The sequence below is a fragment of the Homo sapiens genome, chromosome 2 (genome assembly GCF_000001405.40).
Source record: "Homo sapiens chromosome 2, GRCh38.p14 Primary Assembly".
Classification (NCBI taxonomy): domain Eukaryota; kingdom Metazoa; phylum Chordata; class Mammalia; order Primates; family Hominidae; genus Homo; species Homo sapiens.
Genome location: NC_000002.12, coordinates 199,941,712 through 199,964,323, shown reverse-complemented (window position 1 = coordinate 199,964,323; position 22,612 = coordinate 199,941,712). Strand labels below are relative to the sequence as shown.

Sequence of the window (22,612 nt, the reverse complement as noted above, 5' to 3'; positions counted from 1 at the left end):
TCTATAAAAATTTTTTAAAATTAGCCAGCCATGCTGGTGGATGCCTGTAGTCCCAGCTACTCTGAAGGCTGAGGCAGGGGGATCGCTCAAGCCCAGGAGCTCGACGTTACAGTGAACTATGATCATGCCACTGGACTTCATCCAGGGAGACAGAGCAAGACCCTGTTTCTCAAACAATTTAAAAAATATATAAAGAAATTTGTAAGTAGTTTTTTCAATACCTTCTTTATTATGTCTATAAAATTATATGTAGCATTGGAAATGTTATTGAATATGACACCAACAACGTGCTATTGTATTTTTTAAATTTTGACTTCTTTTAAAGAAGGTGATAACAATCTGTGGAAAATGCTTTTACTGTATCATGCCAATATACTGCAAGGAGTATTTCAAAATAATATAAAAGTAATTCACAGACTTAGATTAAGTGAAGATCAAATGACCCCAAAATTTTTCTTCCTTAGTTTTTCACAGCAACTGCTAAAGTCCATAAGCTGATTTTTCCAAGAAAATTATTCTAATAATTTTGAGTGTTCAATCCGTGCAATGGTCCAGTCAGGCTTTACTCCTTGTGTGAACTCCCTCTGAAACCTAGGAAAGACATTGCAAATAATGTAAATCTTACATCAGTCCAAGTATGTGTTAGATAACTATGTAATTTGCAAGTGTATATTTAGAAGAATTTTTGGCAACAAGATAATGGTTAATATTAAATCAAAATCAAAACAAAAAAAAGTTTAACCTACCCATTCAATCACAATAAATATACCCACAAAATTGAAGTACATTCTCAAGTAATGTAAGTATTTTTAATGGACTAATCTATATTCAACATCTACCAGCCCCTAAGAGAAACTTGGATATATGTGTTATATAAATAACACATATAGCTAGTATGTGTTAAATACTAGCTATAACACATGCCTAATATGAGGACAGATAAACTGGACTCTGGTGATGCAAACAGCACTTTAAATACATAACCTAGGATACAGGCAAAAAGCTATTTTTCAAATAGCACTGTTACCAATTTAGGAATAAATAGTGGAATTTAGTTTACATACATTAAATCAATCTTGAAAATAACAATGTTTATGAAGTACCCATAGTCTTAGTAAGAAACATCAGAAAAGATAAAGTTTAGTATTGACGACAGTGCTCTTTAAAAATTATTTCTTAACAGGCAATTCAGTAGATTTAAATTAAGTATTTAAATATATAGAATATTTTGGGTAATTACAAATAAAGCAAAATTTAAAAAAACACATTTCTTTTAAGAAGAGCAAAAAAAAAATGAGGATATAATTCTCTTTTACCTTAGTAAAACAGAATACATTTTATTTCTTAGGTCATTTTTGGGGTTTGTTATTTTGAAGCAGATTTGTGTAACTCTGGCAACATATTTTTTTAATAAATGTTAAATTATATCTTCACTGACTTGCTCCAGCAGTTCACTGTTCTAGATTTTATTCGCATAAAAATACAATATAATGTCTCTTTTACGTAACTTGCTAACTTCCTACTATACAGTATGTGCTTAAGGGCAGTATCCCTTCAACTTTGTATCTGAACCTCTACCAGAGCATGTGGGCACACAGATGACCAACAGATGTCTAGTGAATAAATTGTTCATGTACCAATTATGGCAGATTTTATTTTCCAAAAATGACCACAACCATATCTCCCCTCCCATGTGCTCTTCTGCTATGTGGCCTTGCTGGTTTTTGCCCCAAAAAATGGGGGAGTCTTTCTACACCCTTTAAACTATACAGATCCTTTGACTGCTTTGACAAGTAGACTATGGCAGAACTGATGTTCTAATTCTGGGCATAGCCCTTTACTGGTTTAGCAGCTTCCATTTTCTGCCTCCTAGAATTCAACCACTATATGAAAGATATGACTAGTCTGAAACTACCACAAGTCCAAGCCACAAAGAGTGGCCCTGGAGAATACAGAGTCATGCAGAAGCCAAGGAGTACCAAGGTGCCACCCATGCGAGTTAAGAAGTCACTGTGGAAATGAATCCTCCAGCTCCTGCCACTCGTGTTGATGCCAGGTGAAGCAGAGAAAACCCCCTAACTGAGCCTATCCAAAATTTCTGAGCAGTGAAATAGCAGGCAAAGTCAATGGCTGTTTGAAGCCAATGAATTTGGGGGTAGTTTGTTAAGCAGCAATAGACAGCTAAAACATCATTTAATTAAATTCAGCAACTTTACCTCTTTCTAATTTCTTAACTCTCCTGTTTCATATCCAGTGTGTCTTTCTGACCTTTTCTCTTCATAAATAACTTGTCAAATTTCAATTCTTTTCTTCCTAAAGATCTCTTAGTTTTCATACCTTCACACTACCTTCCATTTTCTGAAGAAAGGAAACAATGAAATCTGATTAAACTTACTCATAGCTTGCACTAAGAAGTTGTTTAGTTTCCACATTCTGATTCCCCAACTTAACCTGGAATACACTGGCTCCTCTTAAAGTTTCACTGGGGATGTTGGCACTGGTTAGATACCAAAAGCACATCAGGATGTTAACAAACTTCCTTCCTTAGAGAAAAAACATATACACACATACGAATACAAATCAAAATAATCTATCATCCATATAAACAAAATGAAATCAGAAATTGGCAGCAGTTATACAGTTGTTACAGGTCAAATTTTGTGCTTATTCTGATGTGACTTAAAATACTTGTATTGATACTATTTTATTTTTAGAAAATTGTCTTAGGGTTTATGGCATACTTGCCCTCTTCTCTGTATCTCAGTAATAAAACTACTACTTAACTGAGCACGTACTTTACTAAGTATACTACATGGATTATTTTCAATTAGTGGCATTTTCTTTTTCTTTCTCTTTTTTTGACACAGAGTCTCACTCTGTCACCCGGGCTGGGGTGCAGTGGCGCAGTATCGGCTCACTGCAACTTCCGCCTCCCAGGCTCAAGCGATCCTCCCACCTCAGCCTCCTAAGTAGATGGGACCACAGGCACGCACCACCATGCCCGGCTATTTTTTCATATTTTCAGTAGAGACTGGGTCTTGCCATGTTGCCCAGGCTGGTCTTGAACTCTTGAGCTCAAGTGATCCACCTGCCTCAGCCTCCCAAAATGCTAGGATTACAAGTGTGAGCCACCACATCTGGCCAGGCATTTTCTAAGATTATAATAATCTCCTGACAGATACCTGTTGTCAAACCAAAAATGAGGAGAAAAAAAATATTTTTTGCTGCTCAGTAACTATCTTAACTTCAACTGCCAGAAAGAGTAAAGGCTTCCTATTCTACCCAATTCACCTTACTGTGCCTGGTGATTCTGACAAACTCCTGATGCAAAAATTAGTTAGTGACCATGGTGCTGAGATGCAATTTGAAATATTAGGGAAGCGGAAAATATTTATCACTAAAAATATCTTTACAAATATTTCAAAATAATGTGTGCATGAAAAATTTTATCATCACTAAGAGTCTTTTTCTTCCATCTTGGGAAGTGTATAAGCAGAGGCTCCATTTCCTGTGTGGCTGGCACATAATACATATGCAAATAGAGTCATCCCTCAAAATCCACGGAGGATTGGTTCCAGGACCCCCCTGTGGATACCAAAATCCACAGATGCTCAAGTCCTTTATATAAAATGGTGTAGTATTTGCATAACACACATCCTCCAGTATACTTTAAATCATCTCTAGATTATTTATAATACCTAACACAATGTAAATGCTAATGTAAATAGTTGTTATACTGTATTATTGAGGAATAATGACAAGAAAAAAACTGCACATGTTCAAGTACAGATGCAACTATTTTTTTTTAATATTTTTTACCCTAGATTGGTTAAATCTGTGGATGCGAAACCCCCAGATACAGAGGGCCAACTTTGTATGTATCAGGAACAAACAGTGAATTATCAGGAATGCTATAGGGAAAATGTATGCCTCAGACAAGAAGAACCAGATAACCACTAAATTTCCTACCAACTTTTTTCATTATTCTCAAATAGATCCAATTTGGGAGTTCTGCAGTTAACCTTTTCAAATTGTCTTTAGCTGACAATATCTAATTTGATTTTCTTTTACCCCTCATTCCTTCCATATAAAGTGCAGCTTTAAAATACTCAATTGTTTCCTTCAAGTTAGGAAATCTGAAACATAAATATTTTCTATTTGAGACGTGGGAGCCACTCAAACTATTTTCATCAATGTAAGTGATGATGTTCTCTACTGTGAATAAAATAGTAGCAGAAAAAAGTTCTAGATAGAAAGGCTTAAGAAATGATGACCATATCTCAACTCTTTCAGAAGTAGGTCTTTAAAGAATGGATATAACATTTTCTTTGAAGTTCTATAAATACTTGTCCTGACAAAACTCTACTATTTTGTGATTATCCACTAGTTTAGCTTATCTGGACAATTATGGATCATTTCAAGTTGACTATGCTCTGGTATTACCTTTCTCATCATAGTAAATGGAGATGTCTCCTGTTGATGTAAATACAATTTCATCTATGTTAGCAGCAAGGGCATTTTTATGGTTGTCAGGTAGTGAAGTAACCTTTTCTTTCAATGCATGTAGCACCTAAGTTTGAAAAAAGCAAGCCATTAGTTCACTGATACAATTTTTGAAAACTTTCAAAAAGTGATCTTTATCATGGAATACATTTTTCCAAACCTATTTTTAAATTTACTACCGTATTTACTCATCCTCAAAAGCAAGGCTGAAATGTATCTCATTATTCAAGTAGGTAATTCCTAACAGAACATTCCATATAAGAGCAATTGGAAGACATCATGATTACTTCATTATGCCTTAAGTGGCAGGAGTTATTCCATGCTTTTATATGACCCAAAGTACCCATAAGAACAGATACACAGACTCTACTTTGGATGCTGGCACACACACTATTTTTAAGCATAAATAAGGAAAATGTGCATCATTCTATTGCAAGAGAATAGCATTTATTTTTAAAGCAAAATGTAAAATATACTTTACCTCTTTGGCCACAAGTTCTTCCAACAGATCAAATTTACACTGTGACAGCAACTTGGATACATGAGCAAAAGCCTTGAAAAAAATATTAAGGGAAGTGTGGGGATTATTATTTCAAAATACCATACCATGTTCATATTTAAATGGCTAAGTGTAATACAGACTATTTTATGGTAATAGTGATAAACAACATCAAATATTAATTTATCAAGGCATGACTCTTGGTTGACTTTTCATATATGGCCTTCCCACATATATAGCAGTAAGTGACTTGACCTTTAATTCTGGATCCACTCTCAGGACCGGGAAATGATAGTGTGTGGTGTACAATCTAGATGTCTCAATAAAAATCCTCCTTTATATTTCTTTTTAAAATGATGAAGTAAACAATCATTTGGCAGTTATATGACCTACCTCTTAATCATGCATAGATAGCAGTTGGAAAGGAGAACAGTCGAGACTGCATTGGGAGTCTGGAAATCTGGGCTGTAGTCTGAATCTCAGTATGGGAGATAATGTAGGTTTGGGAAAGTGGGAGAGAAGGTCATTAGTTTATGTGGTCTAAAACAGTAGATCCTAACTTTGAAGTATGAAATTCCATTTTCAAGGAGGGAAAAACCCAACTGCAATTCTCCTCACTGCTAGCAATGAGAAAGCAAACTGTGAGTTAAGATCCTACCTGTCTTCAGGGAACTTTCAGTCTACATGGGAAAAGGACAAGTAAACTGACAAGTTGAAGAATTTTGACAGGGATAAGAACAGGATGACTTGGGAGCATACAGAAGAGCCTTCTAACCCAATCTGGGAGGATCAGAGAGGGCTTCCTAAAGGAAGAAACATCTAAGCTGAAATCTAGGCTGCCAGAGGATGCACAGGCATGTCAGATATGGCATGTCAGAGAATACTGCCTAACTGTTATAGGATGAATTGTGCTCTCCTTCCCCGAAAATTTATGCTGAAGCTCTAACCCCCAGAACCTTGAAATGTGACTATATTTGGAGATAAAGCCTTAAAGAGATGATTAAGTTAAATGAGACCATCAGGGTGGGCCAAAATCCAATCTGACTGGCATCCTTATAAGAGGAGCAAATGTGGAGTAAGAGCCACCAGGAGCACGCATGCACAGGGAGGACCATGCAAGGACACAGCAAGAAGACGGCCATCTGTAAGCTGAGAGAGGCCTCAGGAGAAAACAACCCCTCCGACACCTTGATACTGAAATTCAGGTTGTTTGCTTTATATAAGCAACAATGCTTACAGGCTGGCTGATGAATGGGGTGGAAATACTGCTTAATAGCAAGGAAGGAGGTGAAAATAGCTAACAGCTGGAGGACCACTAGGACTGGAGTGACCCCAAAAATGCTGCATGCTCCTCTGTGTGTTCAGAGGAAACAAGTACTGAGGCCTGATGCCTGCCCATGGTGGGGAGATGATTTCCATTCCTTACTGAAACATAAATGAACTGGTACCATCATATGTGTTATGAGGTGGACAAGCTCATATATCATCAGTGGGCATTGTACAGAACAGTAGGATCAATACAACTTACCACTGCATGGACAAAAGACTTTGAGAACTGACAAGAGCAGAGGTTTATCAATTATAATGCTGAGTTAAGCATCTTAATCAAGTTTGTTCTTTGACTTTTTTTATATAAATATATATAGTAGTCAAGAGTTGACTCAGAGAAGCAGGCAGCAGGAGTTAATACTGACACTTATTAAACAAAGTTGAAAACATTTGATTTACAACTGATTGGTCTTATAAATACAAATGGCCATGATTATGGAAAGAATCTGAAATAAATTTGGAGTAAAATATCAATACCAGTATACAACCAATACTGTAAAATGATTACACCAATAGCATGGTTTTAAGGCATATGGAGGTATGAAGCGGGAAATAAACTTTCTGACTTCTATTGTGGTTTTTTTGTTTGTTTTTGTTTTTTGAGACGGAGTCTCGCTCTGTCACCCAGGCTGGAGTGCAGTGGCGCAATCTTGGTTCACTGCAACCTCCACCTCCCGGGTTCATGCAATTCTCCTGCCTCAGCCTCCAGAGTAGGTGGGACTACAGGGGCTCGCCACGCCTAATTTTTGTATTTTTAGAAGAGACACTGTTTCACCATATTGGCCAGGCTGGTCTCGAACTCCTGACCTTGTGATCCACCTGCCTCGGCCTCCCAAAGTACTGGGATTACAGGCGTGAGCCGCCATGCCTGGCCGACTTCTATTGTTATCAGCAGTTCTGCAATGTTTGGGAACGATACAATCTGTAAAGGAGTCCAAAAAAAAAAAAAAAAAGCATGTACCCACAAAATCTACAAATAATCTCAGGACCCAAGTGACCATATGTCACAAGGGTAAGGCAAGGTATAATCAGCCATTCAGAAACAGGTACGTAACTAACAAAGTCAGGGATAAGAATCTCTAAAGGCTAAATATTTTCTGTGTGCAGGGTGCTGTGCACTTAGCCACCAGGCAGTCTCAGCAAATCCTTTGAAAGGGTAAAATTGCTCATCTCCAGTTTAATCTTTACGGAGTATGGGGTGGTGTATTGGTCGGCTCTGTCTAATAGCTGGCAGGAAGTTCTGCTCTTCTACCCAAGGTGACATTACAGCACTTTGGAAATGTTATCTCAATTATTCTTCAATCTTACCCATTTATTAATGTATTCAGCAAACATTCATGGAGTGCCTACTATGTGCCAGGCATTGTCTTGCCCACTTTGTAAATTTGAAAATTATGTTCAGACAAGATGAGCCATATAGCTTTTTCTTTCTGAGACAGGGCCTGGCTCTGTATCCCAGGCTGGAGTGCAATGGCACGATCACAGCTCACTACAACGTCCAACTCCTGGGTTCAAGCGATCCTCCCCTTCAGCCTCCCAAGTAGCTGAGACTACAGGCGTGTACCACCATTCCCGGCCCAGAAGCTTACTTTAAGTCAAGCAATGGCTGGAAGGCTCTATGTCTGGGCCACTAATCACGTTTGATCACTTGTATCCCAGTGAAGAAAACTCACTGCTAAGCACTTCTGCGAGCAATAGTTGAACTCATTAGAGACGGATAGGTCAATCAGGGAAATAAACAAACCTGCTTCGCTCCCTCGGAGAACTCTGTGATGCTGAACTCTTTGTCGAAATAGGCCCAGATAAGGAAGGCCTTAATTCGAGTCCTAACCCAGTTGATGGGGTTGGAGAATCCCAGGACGATCATCTTGGTTTTCTGGTGCTGCTGGGGCTTCTCCTCCGTGCTGTAGCTGCGCTGAGGGCAGGCAGGGAAAGAAGCGAAGGCTGCGGGGAGTCCCGGGCTGCTGAGCACTGGCCACCGGGAGCCCTGGGCAGGTAGCGCCGAGGCTGCCAAGGCCCTAGCGCTTCGTGGAAATAACGCCGCTCCCAAGCCGAGGCGACAGCGGCAGAAGTAGCAAAGTGTGGCCGACGGCAGCCTCACCTCGGCCACAGCAGGAGTCCGGAGTCGGACGGCCCCGCAGGGCAGCGACCGAGAGTGCAGGAACTGGGGTAGCAAACGAGCGGCCAGCGCCATTTTTATGACCCTTCACACCGGTGCCTGCCGGTGCTGTATGGAAAGGAAGTCGGTGGGAAACCGCCTCAGCGGTGTCGGAGAAAGAGACTGGAGAGCAAAGTGGACCTGTTGCTGCAGCCTCTGGTGAGTCGGCCCCGTCCCCGCTCTCCAGCACGCAGCCCAGGCCGAGGCCCTTCGGCAACCCGCCCCGCGCTCGGACCCAGCCACTCTGGAGTCTGCCGGCCTCGCGGACCTTTTCTCTGTCGCTCGTGTTTCCGGGCGGATGGCGCTGAGGAACGCTTTAGAGCCGAAGTTCCGAAGACCTGGAAGAGGGCAGGCGTGAGCAACCATGGCCGGGCAGCACCTCCCGGTACCCCGGCTGGAGGGCGTTTCTCGGGAGCAGTTCATGCAGCACCTCTACCCACAGGTGAGGCCCTCGCGCGGGGCAGAACCTCGAGAAACCAGCGAGAGACACGTCTTTACCTTTCGGACAGCTGGGAACTGGTTTTTAGAGACCCAGGGTGTGGGAAAGAGGCGCAGGACGGCAGCAGATCACTGGTTGGCCCTTAGACCAAGGGAAAGGTGCACGGGGGACGCCGACTGGCTCCTCTATTGAAATTTCCGGAGAAAGTCCCATGTTTCTGGGGAGCAAGATGATGGCGGAGAGCTGAGTGCGAGAGGTATTTTGCCTAAACTCTTTACTCCGCATCTGTCAGTCTGCTCCGAATTAATGGATTTGAAGGCACAACTTTTCACTCCACTGAGCCAAAAAGGAAAGCAATGGGATTCCCCCGGAAAACTCCTACTCGTCTTGAATTCTAACTTACTTAGGTTCTAGTTCCGACATTGGAGTCTTTTATACCTGTAGTTAGAACCTTAGGTCTTTAAAAGAAAACTCATAGAGAAATATTAGGGAAACAAAAAGTGCTTTTACTTGCAGTGCTTTTCAAGGGAGTCCAGACCTAAGAAAAACAAGGTATTAAAAGGAAAAATCCACAGGATTACAGTAAGTCAGTTTATGGTAGGAAAAATACCCAGCAATTTTCTTACCTGATATTTACATTTATAAGGGTGGTCATAGAATTACAGTTCTGGGGCCGGGCGCGGTGGCTCACGCCTGTAATCCCAGCACTTTGCGAGGCCGAGGCGGACGGATCACCGGAGGTCAGGAGTTCAAGACCAGCCAGTAGAAATCCCATCTCTACTAAAAATACAAAATTAGCCGGGCATGGTGGTGGCCCATACCTGTAATCCCAGCTACTCGGGAGGCTGAGGCAGGAGAATCGCTTGAACCCGGGAGGCGGAGGTTGCAGTGAGCCGAGATCGCGCCACTGCACTCCAGCCTGGGCAACAAGAGCTAAACTCGGTCTCAAACAAACAAACAAAACTACAATTCTGAGTGTTACAAAAGTCGGATGGGCTGGGCGCCGTGGTTCATGCCAGTAATCCTAACATTTTGGGAGGCCCAGGTCGGTGGATCACTTGAGGTCAGGAGTTCAAGACCAGCCTGGCCAATATGGTGAATCCCCGTCTGTACAAAAAATACAAAAATTAGCCGGGCGTGGTGGCGCACGCCTGTATTCCCAGCTACTCTGGAGGCTGAGGTCGGAGGATCTGCTTGAGCCCGGGAGGTCGAGGCTGCAGTGATCCATGATCCTGCCACTGCTCCAGCATGGGCGAGAGGGTGAGACCCTAGCTTAAAAAAAAAAAAGGCGGGGTTGGGGGGATGCGGGAGGAATGAAGTTTTTCTTTTGATAGCAACCTACGGGAGAGGATTCAAGCCTTTATTAGTTTGGAGACTTGTACTAGATGGGTTGTTCTTGCTCTCCCTGTCCTTAGACACCCCCTATCTCAGAATGTGCTAGACGTAAGTTGCCTAAAGGGCAGTGTTGTGAAGATTAGGGTATGTGGAAGTGCTTTGTAAGAGTCATAGCAAAAGGTATTTTGTAATTTAATCTCTTCAGACAAGACATACAGCACAAAGCATCATTACATTTTAAAAAGTCGAAAATTACAAACAACTTTCTCTGGCCATGGGCAGTAAAACTAGAAATTAATAACAAAATTGGAAAAAAAGACCTTTCTATCTGGAAACACTAAAAAGTATGAGGGGGCATAGTGCTATGAGTTTTTTGTTAAACATTTTCTAATAACTCCATAATTAACACTGTATATTGTACAGGTACATGAATAGATAGACCAAGGGAATAGAATAGAAAGTGCAGAAATACCTATTCCTATGGAAATTTAGTGTATAATAAGCATGACATTTCAAAAATCAATAAGGCACAAAATGACTTTTTAAAAAATAGACTGTTTTTTCGAGGCTTTATAGGTTCACAGCACAATTGACCAAAGGTACAGAGATTTCTCATGTCCTTTCTGCCCTGACACATGGATAGCCTCCTCCATGATCAACATCCCCTCATTAGAGTGGTATATTTGTTACAATTGATAAACCTACATTGGCACATCATTTTCTTTTTCTTTTTTTTTGAAATGGAGTTTTGCTCTTATCGCCCAGGCTGGAGTACAGTGGCACAGTCTCGGCTCACGTTAACCTCTGCCTTCAGGGTTCAAGCGATTCTCCTGCCTCAGCCTCCTGAGTAGCCAGGACTACAGGCACCCGCCCCGACGTCCGGCTAATTTTTGTATTTTTTAGTAGAGGCGGAGTTTCGCCATGTTGGCCAGGCTGGTCTCAAACTCCTGACCTCAGGTGATCCGCCCATCTCAGCTTCCCAAAGTGCTGGGATTACAGGCGTGAGCCACCGCGCCCAGCCTGGCACATCATTTTCACCCAAAATTCATAGTTTATATTAGGGTATACTATTGATATTGTACATTCTATGGGTTTGGGCAAATTTATAATGAAATGAATCCACCATTATGGTATTATACAGAGGAGTTTCACTTAGAAAATGATAAAATTCGGTTTATATCTCACACTGTACACAAGAATAAACTCCAAGTGGATCAGAAAAATGTAAAGAAATGAAACTACACAAGTTGTGAGTACACTCGGCAATACAAAACAAAATGAAGCTACACAAGTGCTAGTAGAAAATATGGGTAAATTCCCCTATAATCTAGGTCTATGGAAGGCATTTCTAGCTATGACTCAAAATTCAGGTGTAATATTAGATTAAAATTTGACTGCATGAAACATTTGTATGCCAGAAACACTGTAAGCAAATTTGAAAGACAAATACAAAGTGGGAGAAAATATTTGCAACATTTATCTCATATAAAGGACAGTAAAAGCCCTTGTATGGAAAGAACTTTCAAAAGGGGGTAAAAGGCTGAAAATCTGGTAGAAAAATGAGCAAACGATTGAGGGGGGAAAAAACATTAAAATGGCCTTTAAACTAGGAAGTTTAAGTTTACTCATAAGAGAAATAAAGCTACACTGAGATACAACTTCTTATATATCATATTGGCAAAAATTTAAAAAGCTCTGGTAATACTCTCTTGGTGATGCCCTGAAGAAACTGGCATACTCAAATTTTATACCAAATGGTACAACTCTGTTGGCATATCTAACTATGTTCACTTTATGACCCAGTAATTCCTCATTTAGGAATTTATTCTGGAGATATACCTCCAAAAATGTGTAAATATTTACGTAGTGTTACTGTACTTGCAAATTATTGGAAATAACCTAAATGCTTATGCAGGCGAGAATAATTGAATAAATTATGGCCCATTTACACTGAGGTATACTAAGATGTAAAAAAGAATAAAGGCGATATCTGAACTGATAAGTGGTGATTTCTAGGATATATTTATGATTTTTTTTTTTTTTTGAGACGGAGTCTTGCTCTGTCACCCAGGCTGGAGTGCAGTGGCACGATCTCAGCTCACTGCAAGCTCCGTCTCCCGGGTTCATGCCATTCTCCTGCCTCAGCCTCCTGAGTAGCTGGGACTACAGGTGCCCGCCACCACACCCGGCTAATTTTTTTGTATTTTTAGTAGAGATGGGGTTTCACTGTGTTAGCCAGGATGGTCTCGATCTCCTGACTTTGTGATCCGCCTGCCTCGGCCTCCCAAAGTGCTGGGATTACAAGCGTGAGCCACTGCACCCAGCCATATATTTATGAATTTTTTAAAAAGCACACAACAGAAGAAAATATATGGTAAGCTACTATTTATGTAAAAAACAAGGGGAAGAGATAATGAAATATATGTTTTTGATCACTTTGCAAAAAAGAAAGGAATAAGCCAAAAATTAATGAGATCAGTTATGCATAGGGGATGTGTGAGTATGAAATGGAAGAATGTGGATGGGGTGACTTTTGTATAGTTTTGATTTGGGGAATCACATGGATGTTTTACATTCTAAAGTCATAATAATAAAATCAACAAGGATGAAAAATTATTTTTTAAAAGACCCTAATATAGAATATAAAAAGTAACACATGAATCTGTTTAAGTGGGAGAGGGAGAAGTTACCCAAGTCACTTTTTTTAAACACAATACTTTAATTATATGTCCTCAATCTAAGACACAAAAAACTGAAAACAAACTGAATTCTAGTTAGTACAGTAAGTCCTCATTTAACGTTCTCAGTAGGTTCTTGGAAGCTGCAACTTTAAGGGAAATGACCTATAATGAAACCAGTTTTACCACAGGCTAATTGATACAAACAAGAGTTAAGTTCCAGTGGCATATTTCTGGTCACAAAAATATCACCAAACTTGTAAATAAAGACCCAAAACATTTCTAATCTTAAACATTGAAATAAACATGAGCTACATGTACATTTAAGAAGGATTAATAAAAGTAAATAATTACTCAATTTTTGGTGAATTGTTATGTGACAGTGGTCATAGTAGTGGTGGGTTAAATCAAGGAATAAATGTTTACAAATGGAAAATTGTAAGGAGCTCCTCCTACCACTGAACAGTTCAAAACAAGTGTGACAGGTTTGCTGATTGCTTTCATACCCCCTTGTTTATTGTGCACTTGTATGATTATCATATGCTTTACAAATTTTTGTTTTACATACTTTGTATTCACTCCTTTCTTCATTTTCCAACCTGCTTATTTCAGTTCAGGGTCACAGGTGGCCAGAGTCTCTCCTGGCAGCTCAGGGCACAAGGTAGGAACCAATCCTGGACAAGATACCATCCCATCTCAGGGCACGCGCACGTGCACATACACACACACATACACACACACAGACCCACATGCACTCACTCATACTGGGACCATTTAGACATGCCAGTGTACCTAATGTGCACATCTTGGGGTTGTGGGAGGAAACCAGAGTACCCGGGGAAGACCCACAGAGATGTGAGGAGAATGCAAAAACTCTACTCGGAGGGGGGCCCTGGCTAGGAATTGATTTTTTTTCTCATCTGTGTTATAACTTTATTTGAGGACCTGTTGTAGACATGTTTTTTACAGTGGTGTGACCTAACAGTGGCAAAAGCAAATTCTGTGAATTCTTTACTTCTTGTGAATTCTGGGATTTTGCAAGTCATTAAACATTGAGGATAATGGGAACTAGGTTTCCCACTGCTGAAAATGGGAATTACAAATTCAGTAGATTATAATGAACCTTGAAATGTTTATGGTTCATACGTACACCTGTTAGGTATATGTGTGTGTGCATGTATTATATATATGGACATATATGGAGAGAGAGCTGAATAGAATAGGTATATGCATATATGGGGTGTACGTGTATATATATTTGTGCGATATACATAGACCCTCACATATATCCTAACTGTGTCCACTGAGAAGAAACCAGAACTACTTTAAGAAATGACTGATCACAGGGCTGGGCAGAGAAAGTATAAAAGACGTCGGGTTCTTTTTTTTTGCCATAATGTAAGGAAGTGCCCCAGTTAAAAAGTCACAAGAAGCATCTTGAAGGGGCTTACTGGCCAAATCTGGGATAATTTGGGTATCAAAATTATACCACTAGATACCACTAGATTATTACCCAGTAAATAAAATAATTCAGTGGAGAATTTAGAGCTCATTTCGATATTAGGATGCCAACTAATAAATGTAGAAGAAATGATGGAGTTTAGAAAAATCACTGTTTTTTGCACTCATCATAGCAAAACATCGTGTGCTACCTGATGTGGCATGCTGAGAAGGCGACACCATTCCTTTTGTGGTACATTCCTTCTCCAAAATGTGTAACTTGAGTCTAATTATGAAGAAACTTAAGATAAACCCAAATTGAAAAGTTTTCTACAAAATAGCTGGCCTATACTCTTCCAAAATGTCAAAGTCATAGAAGGTAAAGAGGCTGATGATTAAACATTTCAGATTAAAAGAGACATAGCAACTGAATGCAGTGTGACATCTCAGATTGAATTCTGGGTTAGGAAAAAATAAAGCAAAGGAAATCATTGGGACAATTAGCAAAATTTGAGTATGGACTGTAGATTAGATAATAGTATTATGTCAGTGTTTTGTTTTTTGTTTTTTTGTGTGTGATGGAGTTTCACTCTGTCGCCCAGGCTGGAGTACAATGGTGCGACCTCAGCTCACTGCAACCTCCGCCTCCTAGGTTCAAGCAATTCTTCCATCTCAGCCTCCCGAGTAGCTGGGATTACAGACATGCACCACACTTCAAATTTTCTTTTTCTTATTTTTTTTTTAATTTTTAGTAGAGATGGGGTTTCGCCATGTTGCCCAAGCTGGTCTCCAACTCCTGACCTCAAGTGATCCACCCTTGGCCTCCCAAAGTGTTGGGATTACAAGCGTGAGCCACTGTGCCCAGCCTACATCAGTGTTAAATATAATTTTGGTAATTATTCTGTGGTTATATAAGAAGATGTCTTTGTTCTCAGAAAATATACTTAAGTTTTTAGAGATAAGGACCATGGTGTCAGCAATTTAACCTTGAAATGGTTCCAAAAAACAAAATTATGCTTAATTTAATTTCAATTAATAATAATATGTCCTTCTCTTGAAAGTAAGAACAAATCATAAAGCAAATGTGCAAAATGTTAACAGTTGGTGAATCGGGGTAAAGCGTTTACGGAAATTCTTTGTAGTGCTCTTAAAACTTTTTTATAAGTTTGAAATGACATCAAAATTAAAAGTTACAAAAATATTTGACTATAAAGTACAAATTTTAGTCATTATATATTGATGGTCTTGCAGTTTTGTTTTGTTTTTCTAATCTTAAAATTTTGTTCTAGATATTTCATATGGCCCCTCTTCTTGTTTTAGTGACAGCATGAACTGTCAGAAGCTTTGAGTTCAAGCATCTTGGGAGCAAGAGTCAGATCTTACTTGTTTTTGTCTCCCTGTTGCCAAATACAGCTCTTGATGTGTTGTTGGTTTTCATGAATTTTGTTGTATTTCTTTCCCCACTTACAGAGAAAACCTCTTGTGTTGGAAGGGATTGATTTGGGGCCATGTACAAGCAAATGGACAGTGGATTACCTAAGCCAAGTTGGAGGGAAGAAAGAAGTAAAGATTCATGTTGCTGCAGTTGCACAGATGGACTTCATTAGTAAGAACTTTGTATATAGGTATTTTCTTCTGAGGTTTACTCTGGGGATACAAATAACTTTTTAAAAACTTTTAAAATATTTTTGCATTATTATACAAAGACCATATGGCATTTCATCTTTTGGCTGGTTTGATGTAATCATGGAATAGCTTACTGATTTTTAAAGAGTGGTTTTTAAAAGACAAGAGTTCTGAGTTTACATAATTATACAGTGACAATTTTTTATTTTATTTTTTATTTTTTTTGAGACAGAGTTTTACTGCGCCACCCAGGCTGGAGTGCAGGTGTGTGATTTTGGCTCACTGCAACCTCTGCCTCCTGGGTTCAAGTGATACTCCTGCCTCAGCCTCCCGAGTAGCTGGGATTACAGGCACATGCCACTATGCCTAGCTAACTTTTGTATTTTTAGTAGAGACAGGGTTTCACCATGTTGGCCGGGCTGGTCTCAAACTCTTGGCCTCAAGTCATCCACCTGCCTCAGCCTCCCAAAGTGCTGGGATTACAGGCATGAGCCACCATGCCTGGCCAACAATTTTTTAAATAGGGTATATACCCAATACCTTCTGGAGTCATGGAAGGAAGATAAAATTTCTGTAACTAGGGTTAGATTTCATACGAAGTTGGATGTGCCATACTCATTCAATGCTTGATTAATTAGTTGATCCTACCACATTAGTAACTGTTATCTAGAATAGGAAATTCTAAAAGGCTCATGTTTTCTTTTTCTGTCCTCTCCAGAAAACCAGGACAAGCTATGTTTGGTATAATCTTTCATCATCTTAGATAACTTTTAAAAATCATACTTAATTTTCCCTTTTGATAAAATAGTCTTAAATACCTTTAATTTCTCCCATGATGGTTATTTTATGCTGTGGAATTTCTTAAAAGTAAATAAGAAATAGTCAAAAGCTGCTGATTGTCTAAAGATGAAAGTTTTAAATGCTGTCATCTTGCAGATTTCATTTGCTATTTATTCCCATGAGTTTCATTTAAATTGTTAAATTAAAAACAAACAGCTCTCAAACTCTGAGCATGTGAAGTTCCCAGCAAAATCAGTCTATTGAAAAACCATGTAGTTCACAAGACTTCAATTTAGAGATGAGTTAAATAGAGCTTCTAATGTCCACAGCCATTCCTTTCTCATTAGAGTTTTCCAAGTTCATATAGCAGCTGCCAAAGCATTCCTCAGTTTTTAATCCTTTGAATATTCACCATAATGGTTTTAGTTATTAATAGTCCATGAATTGAATTTAATTGCCTTAAGTTTTTCCAAGTGTAGGAACTTTTCATTTTTTATCAAATTAAAAATGCCAGAATGATGAGTGTTTTTCAGCTGGCAGTTAATGATGTTTATTTTCCAGGGAGTCCAATGCCATAACAAATGAGTACTGAAACTTCATCTTGAATTGCCTTGATGTTTTGTCATGTCTTTTTAAACTTTTCAAAAGTTGTTTTTGAAGCACATACATTATGTAATAGTTCCTATCACAGCTTCCTCCAAGCCTTTCACTAGAGCTACTAAAAAGTTGCAAGATTATTTTTTTTAGTGCAACCAAAAAAATAGGTTTAGTCATTTTTAGCATTTACCAGGCAGTAAGAAAGAAGGAATGCATCCAGGCCAAAGAGAGACTAGAAAGTAAGAAACCCTGCACACACATGTATATTATTATTATCACTTCAAATTGAGGTTGCTTTTATGCCTTATCAAACATTGGAAGATTGATACGTTAACAGGTATGAACTTTTACTTCTTTCTTATTGGTAGTGCTCATTGTTCAGAGTCAGGAGAGTCTGGACAAAAGAACCTTGTGTGGTGAAAGGATATTGTTGGCATTCTTCTGATCATAGATTTTTTTAAAAAGTCTCATCATGTAAGGTTTGCCACATCTTCCTGTCACATCCTGTAATTCCTGTCATCATCTTGCTCTTGTTTATTGTACTCTCATCAGTTCTGATCTTGATTTTGTAAAGCAGCCTTTTCCAAATGGGGAACAAGACAGTGAAGGGCTTTCTTCTTCTTTTTTAAAATGTTGATGACTACTTGCGTGCTGCAAAAGGGTACATTATCATTGTTGTTAACCCCACCATCTGTCCTTTACTGAGTACTTATTATATATCAGCTACTGTGCCAAGCAATCTAGGTTATATTACTCATTTAAACTTCAGAACAATCTGTGAGGTAGATATTTTTAATAATAATTTCACAGATGAGGAAAGAGAGGTTTAAAAATATTAAGTAACTTCTCCAGGATCACATAGCTTGAAGTGATGGAACCCAAGGTGTTTACTCTAATTTCCCTGACTCCACGGAGCCCATGATTAAGCCTTCTTTGACATTACCCTCCTTACTGGTGCTGCCAGTCCAGACAAATGGCCCTTTAATAACCAATGCCCTTGTTTTTGAAACATGGATAGGATAGATTTTTAAAAAGCCAAAGAACTTCCCAATTTACATACCTAATTTCTCCCCCATCTGGGCTTAGTAGAAGCTATGACAGGTACCATTACCTAGGAGAAAAGGTTGCTGGTGACACCCCAGTTCTGCTTATCTGGGCTGAGCTACTCTGTCTGCTCTTTCAGGGTCACTGTTCTGTTCTGTTTTTCTAAAGGTCTTGAAACACTTTTGTGTTATTCCTGGTAAGAAAGCTAAGCCTGGTTAAATGCAGCAATTACAGTAGTGGCTATGGTCCAGATAAACTTCCCCACTGGCCCAGACTCTTCAAAGATGCTTTGAAGAATGAAAGCAAGAAGGAATGAAGGGTATATGGTGAGGTCAGAGATGGGAAACACTGAGTAGGAGAATGCCAAGTAAATTTGTTGATATTAGTTAGTCAGACACTATCTATAGTCAAAGAAATAGTACTCTGCATTGGTCTGAGTAGATGGCAGACCCCTCTTTTCTCTCCTGCAGTGCTCACTCTACATAATTACCAGCAGTGGCCTCAAGTTCAGACTGACATACAGAGCACCCACCAATCCATAACCTGGCTTCAGATTCCCTTAGCTTTTTGCGGGAGGATATAAGGCAGGAAACGGCATTCTAGCAGGGTAGTATCAGTGGAGTCTTTATACAAATCCAGGGAATATTTGTTTTACTCATCAAGTTACAGCTTAGTTGTAAGGGAATGAGACAATGGAGGTAGTATAGAAACACCTGAGCTTAGGTAAGACATATGGTCCATAGAAACCGGTAGCTTGAAACACCCCATGAACTTAGCTTCTGCGTTCCTCCAAGGGCCATACTCAGTTAGGAGAGTTGCACTACACACAGGAAAGCCAAATCATCTGCTTCTGAACAAGTATTTGTAGTCCACTTATAGGCCACCTGGTGCAAACATAATTCATCTATCAGGTTATTTTTATGATAAACAGTGTTACCTGATATCACAACTGACATTCCACATTTATCTTTAATTTTTTTTATTCAACATAATTCATGGGTTCACACCATGTTTGTGTTTACCCAGTATATTTCTGGGAAAACAGTGCAAGGAGAAAGTAAGCTGGCCCAAGGTCATCTTCTCATAGAGAAGGAGAAAGTATTTAACCTTTTCTTTCGACTTTCTCAGTACAGAGTTCAAGTGGGAAGATATTTAGTAGTAAGAGTGAAAAGATTACAGCTTTTAATCAGAAGTTTGGAGGCAGGAGTGTAGTGGGGGTAGCAGAGGAGAGGATTTTGACCTAGAGGCTTTTGAGGACTTCATTGTCTTGTTACTTATACAGTATCACCATCATTTATAGAGCAGTACTTTTGATTCTAGAGAGTAAAGGAATAGATGCAATCTGGAGTAAGAATATCCTTCTAGCTCAAGAGTGTGATGTAAAGGAAACAAATTTTGCTTCCACAGTGTTCAGCCCTGTTCATCAGGATGGAAGGAGACAGGCATTTGGGCAGAAATTTTGAAGAATAAAAATTGGTCACTTCACTGGAATTCTCCTTGAGCTATTCTTCAGAAGCCTTAAAATGATAGAGGGTGGTGCAGCAGGATGAGAGCAGTGTTACTGGCTTCTGTGTTCTGTGATATGCCAAAAGGCAGGAATATGGGGGGTGGTTATCTTCATGGGACCATTTGTGTACTGTCTCTTCCAAAGTAGCACTAGTAGTTTGCCCCACTCTTCACAAGATTTGTTTTGCCATGCCACTTAAAAACAGGTAGCAATCAGAACCTGAAAGTCTGTGTATTTACAAAGGTAATCAGATACCATAGAAACATTTTTCTGTCATAACTTGGAATAGAATATTGATCTATTGAAAGATTCATCTGTATCATAGATTTTGAAATATTTAATTCCAAAATTTCAGACAACTTAGATCAAGTAAACATACTGCTCAATAAGTTTTGAAAAGTTAGAATTTCACATAATAGGTTATAATAAAAATTACAGATATTATAAAACAGGAGATTATATCCAACTCCAGCAAGCCTTTATGTATAGTGATTAGATTCTTACTAGTTGATCTGTTATTATTAAGTCCAAGGATTCCTTTGTGTTTATTTCAGAACTTTACCTTTTGACCAGTTGGTCCAGAGGGCAGCTGAAGAGAAACATAAAGAATTCTTTGTTTCAGAGGTAATTGCTTTTAACATTTTTAAAAGAAGGCATTAATATCTATATACTAAATGGATTTTCTTATGAAAGAATAGTAGATACACAAGAGCAACAGCCGTCTCTGATAGACATTCGTAAGATTTGGTTGGATGCACCACAGACTGTAGCTCTGCTATTTATTAGCTCTCAAACTTTGGCCAAATTATTTTTCTGTACTTCAGTATACTCATCTGTGAAATGGGGGTGATAATAGTACCTATTTTATAAAGTGTTTGTGAGGATTAACTAAATAAAATAGTAAAATACTTAGCAGTGTGCCTGATGTATAGAAATTACGCATTAAATGTTAGCTATTAATGTTACGTCCTTTTAAAATGCTTTGGTCTGATATGCCAACTTCAAATGCTAATGGAAAACTTCATTTTCATATCTATTGACTATTAGACTGTTTCTGTATTCTTGTTATCAATGTGATTTCTATTGTGTATATTTGCTGTAATATTTGTTCAGGATTAAATGCGGAAGAATTCTACTTAATTATAGTCTAGCTTTAAATAATTCAATTTAAATACCTTGAGATAAGGCATCAAGGCCTTGTATATAAATATGTTTTTAAAAATTTCCTGTGTTGGTCGAGCGCAATGGCTCACGCCTGTAATCCCAGCACTTTGGGAGACCAAGGCGGGTGGATCACCTGAGATCGGGAGTTCGAGACCAGCCTGACCAACATGGAGAAACCCAGTCTCTACTAAAAATACAAAATTAGCTGGGCATGATGGTGCATGCCTGTAATCCCAGCTACTCAGGAGGCTGAGGCAGGCGAATCACTTGAACCCAGGTAGCGGAGGTTGCAGTGAGCTAGATTGCGCCATTGCACTCTAGCCTGGGCAACAAGAGCATAACTGTCCAAAAAAAAAAAAAATTCACTGTGTTATTCAAAAGCACATTTTAAAAACAAATTGCTTTTTAATCTTTGAATGAAGCTGTTTTCTGCATTTGAGCCAGCTGGGCTGGGGAGTTTGGTTCTAAAAGGTGCTGCATTTTTACAGTCCTCTTGTCAGGTAATAGTTATACTAGATTACTGCCACAATCCCCACAAACTCTGTAGGTCTGTGATTCTGTAGTATAACCAAAATGTCTTTTTAAATGGATTCCATTAGCTGCACCTGAGAACTGTTTTATAACTTTATAGCCATGCTTTGAACATGTATATTCAGTTGCCCTTTGGTACTTTGATGTCTAAGGGTAATCAGTGGTATATATTTAAATAGCCATGAAATGTGAAGTAAAAGAAATAGACACGTGGTAAAAGATTAAAGTCTAAAAATCATGGAAACTATGTAAACAAGATCAACTTGAACTGTCAGTTTGGTCCTCTAAGAAGCAGATGCTGAGATGGAATTAGGAGTGCAAAAGGCTGGCCGGGCGCGGTAGCTCACGCCTGTAATCCCAGCACATTGGGAGGCGGAGGCGGGCGGATCAGGAGGTCAGGAGATTGAGACCATCCTGGCTAACACGGTGAAACCCCGCCTCTACTAAAAATACAAAAAAATTAGCCAGGCATGGTGGCATACGCCTGTAGTCCCAGCTACTTGGGAGGCTGAGGCAGGAGAATGGCGTGAACCCGGGAGGCGGAGCTTGCAGTGAGCCGAGACTGCACCACTGCACTCCAGCCTGGGCTACAGAGCAAGACTCCGTCTCAAAAAAAAAAAAAGAAAAGAAAAACAAGGAGTGCAAAAGTCTTGTTAAATAGGAGAAATAACTGTGAAAGGAAAGGGGAGGAAGCAGGATTGGATAGGGGAAGACATGTAGATACAGATCTGACAGTCTCTGCCAACTCATCCTGGAACTCCTGAGCAGACTGCCTATGAGAAAAGTCCTGCATTGGGTGGCAATGTCTAGGTCTTTTACCAGCTTAAGTCACTGGTTGTGACTACCCCAAGAAGAGCATGACCTAGATTCCAATCCTGAGGTGGACCTGAAGAAGTTAACAGCTGGTAGCTCTAAGCTAATCACACTCCTTACAATGAAGCAGTGAGTTCTTTCTTGAAGGAATTTCTGAGCAGTGCACTTC

At 39.3% G+C, this 22,612-nt stretch overlaps 2 protein-coding genes across 12 annotated transcripts in view, besides 4 other annotated features; one reads left to right on the top strand and one right to left on the bottom strand.

Annotated features, from left to right (window-relative positions):
- Positions 1–206: 206 nt before the first annotated feature.
- MAIP1 (matrix AAA peptidase interacting protein 1) lies at positions 207–9,007 on the bottom strand. 4 transcript variants are annotated; one of them, NR_161377.1, is made up of 6 exons: positions 8,988–9,007; positions 8,076–8,827; positions 4,985–5,056; positions 4,444–4,570; positions 2,217–2,358; positions 207–591 (listed from the first exon to the last, which is right to left on the bottom strand). NR_161377.1 is itself a non-coding variant. In NM_024520.3 (6 exons), the coding sequence occupies exons 2-6, from the start codon at positions 8,523–8,525 to the stop codon at positions 513–515; spliced, it is 876 nt and encodes a 291-aa protein (NP_078796.2). In that variant the 5' UTR covers positions 8,526–8,827; positions 8,988–9,007; the 3' UTR covers positions 207–512. The 4 variants fall into 4 exon arrangements, 3 of the variants coding, with proteins under 3 accessions (NP_078796.2, NP_001356328.1, NP_001381884.1); NM_024520.3 differs by lacking the exon at positions 2,217–2,358 and adding an exon at positions 2,396–2,543; NM_001369399.1 differs by lacking the exon at positions 2,217–2,358.
- Positions 7,990–9,189: an enhancer, noted in NCBI's record as "CDK7 strongly-dependent group 2 enhancer chr2:200819858-200821057 (GRCh37/hg19 assembly coordinates)". NCBI's record gives its function as "activates an origin of replication core promoter dependent on BRD2, BRD4, P300/CBP, MED14 and CDK7 cofactors, with strong dependence on CDK7, by STARR-seq in HCT116 cells {active_cell/tissue: HCT116}" and the evidence as "EXISTENCE:reporter gene assay evidence [ECO:0000049][PMID:35650434]".
- Positions 8,310–8,409: an enhancer, noted in NCBI's record as "active region_16953". NCBI's record gives its function as "activates an Ori minimal core promoter by ATAC-STARR-seq in GM12878 lymphoblastoid cells {active_cell/tissue: GM12878}" and the evidence as "EXISTENCE:reporter gene assay evidence [ECO:0000049][PMID:35858748]".
- Positions 8,430–8,589: an enhancer, noted in NCBI's record as "active region_16952". NCBI's record gives its function as "activates an Ori minimal core promoter by ATAC-STARR-seq in GM12878 lymphoblastoid cells {active_cell/tissue: GM12878}" and the evidence as "EXISTENCE:reporter gene assay evidence [ECO:0000049][PMID:35858748]".
- Positions 8,760–8,879: an enhancer, noted in NCBI's record as "active region_16951". NCBI's record gives its function as "activates an Ori minimal core promoter by ATAC-STARR-seq in GM12878 lymphoblastoid cells {active_cell/tissue: GM12878}" and the evidence as "EXISTENCE:reporter gene assay evidence [ECO:0000049][PMID:35858748]".
- TYW5 (tRNA-yW synthesizing protein 5) overlaps positions 8,833–22,612 on the top strand; it is a 26,579-nt gene continuing 12,799 nt past the window's right edge. For 4 of the 8 annotated variants that reach the window (NR_109905.2, NM_001039693.3, XM_047443271.1 and 1 more), the window contains exons 1-3: positions 8,833–8,931; positions 15,852–16,006; positions 20,490–20,559. Coding sequence is in view for 4 of the 8 variants with exons in the window: in NM_001039693.3 (NP_001034782.1) it covers positions 8,854–8,931; positions 15,852–16,006; positions 20,490–20,559 (303 nt within the window). In the remaining 4 variants the exon portion in view is untranslated. Of the gene's footprint in view, positions 8,932–15,851; positions 16,007–20,489; positions 20,560–22,612 lie in introns of those variants that run through there. The other 4 variants (NR_109906.2, NR_004862.2, NR_109907.2 and 1 more) reach the window with 3 other exon arrangements.

What these genes read in the sequence shown, in the direction of transcription:
- MAIP1 (NM_024520.3), bottom strand. Translation starts at nt 8,525, where the DNA reads ATGGCGCTGGCCGCTCGTTTGCTACCCCAGTTCCTGCACTCTCGGTCG. An exon ending in AAGAACTTGTGGCCAAAGAG is followed by an intron (nt 4,571 to 4,984) that starts GTAAAGTATATT and finishes TTTCAAACTTAG; the next exon opens with GTGCTACATGCATTGAAAGA. An exon ending in CATTTACTATGATGAGAAAG is followed by an intron (nt 2,544 to 4,443) that starts GTAATACCAGAG and finishes TTTTTCTCTAAG; the next exon opens with GAAGGAAGTTTGTTAACATC.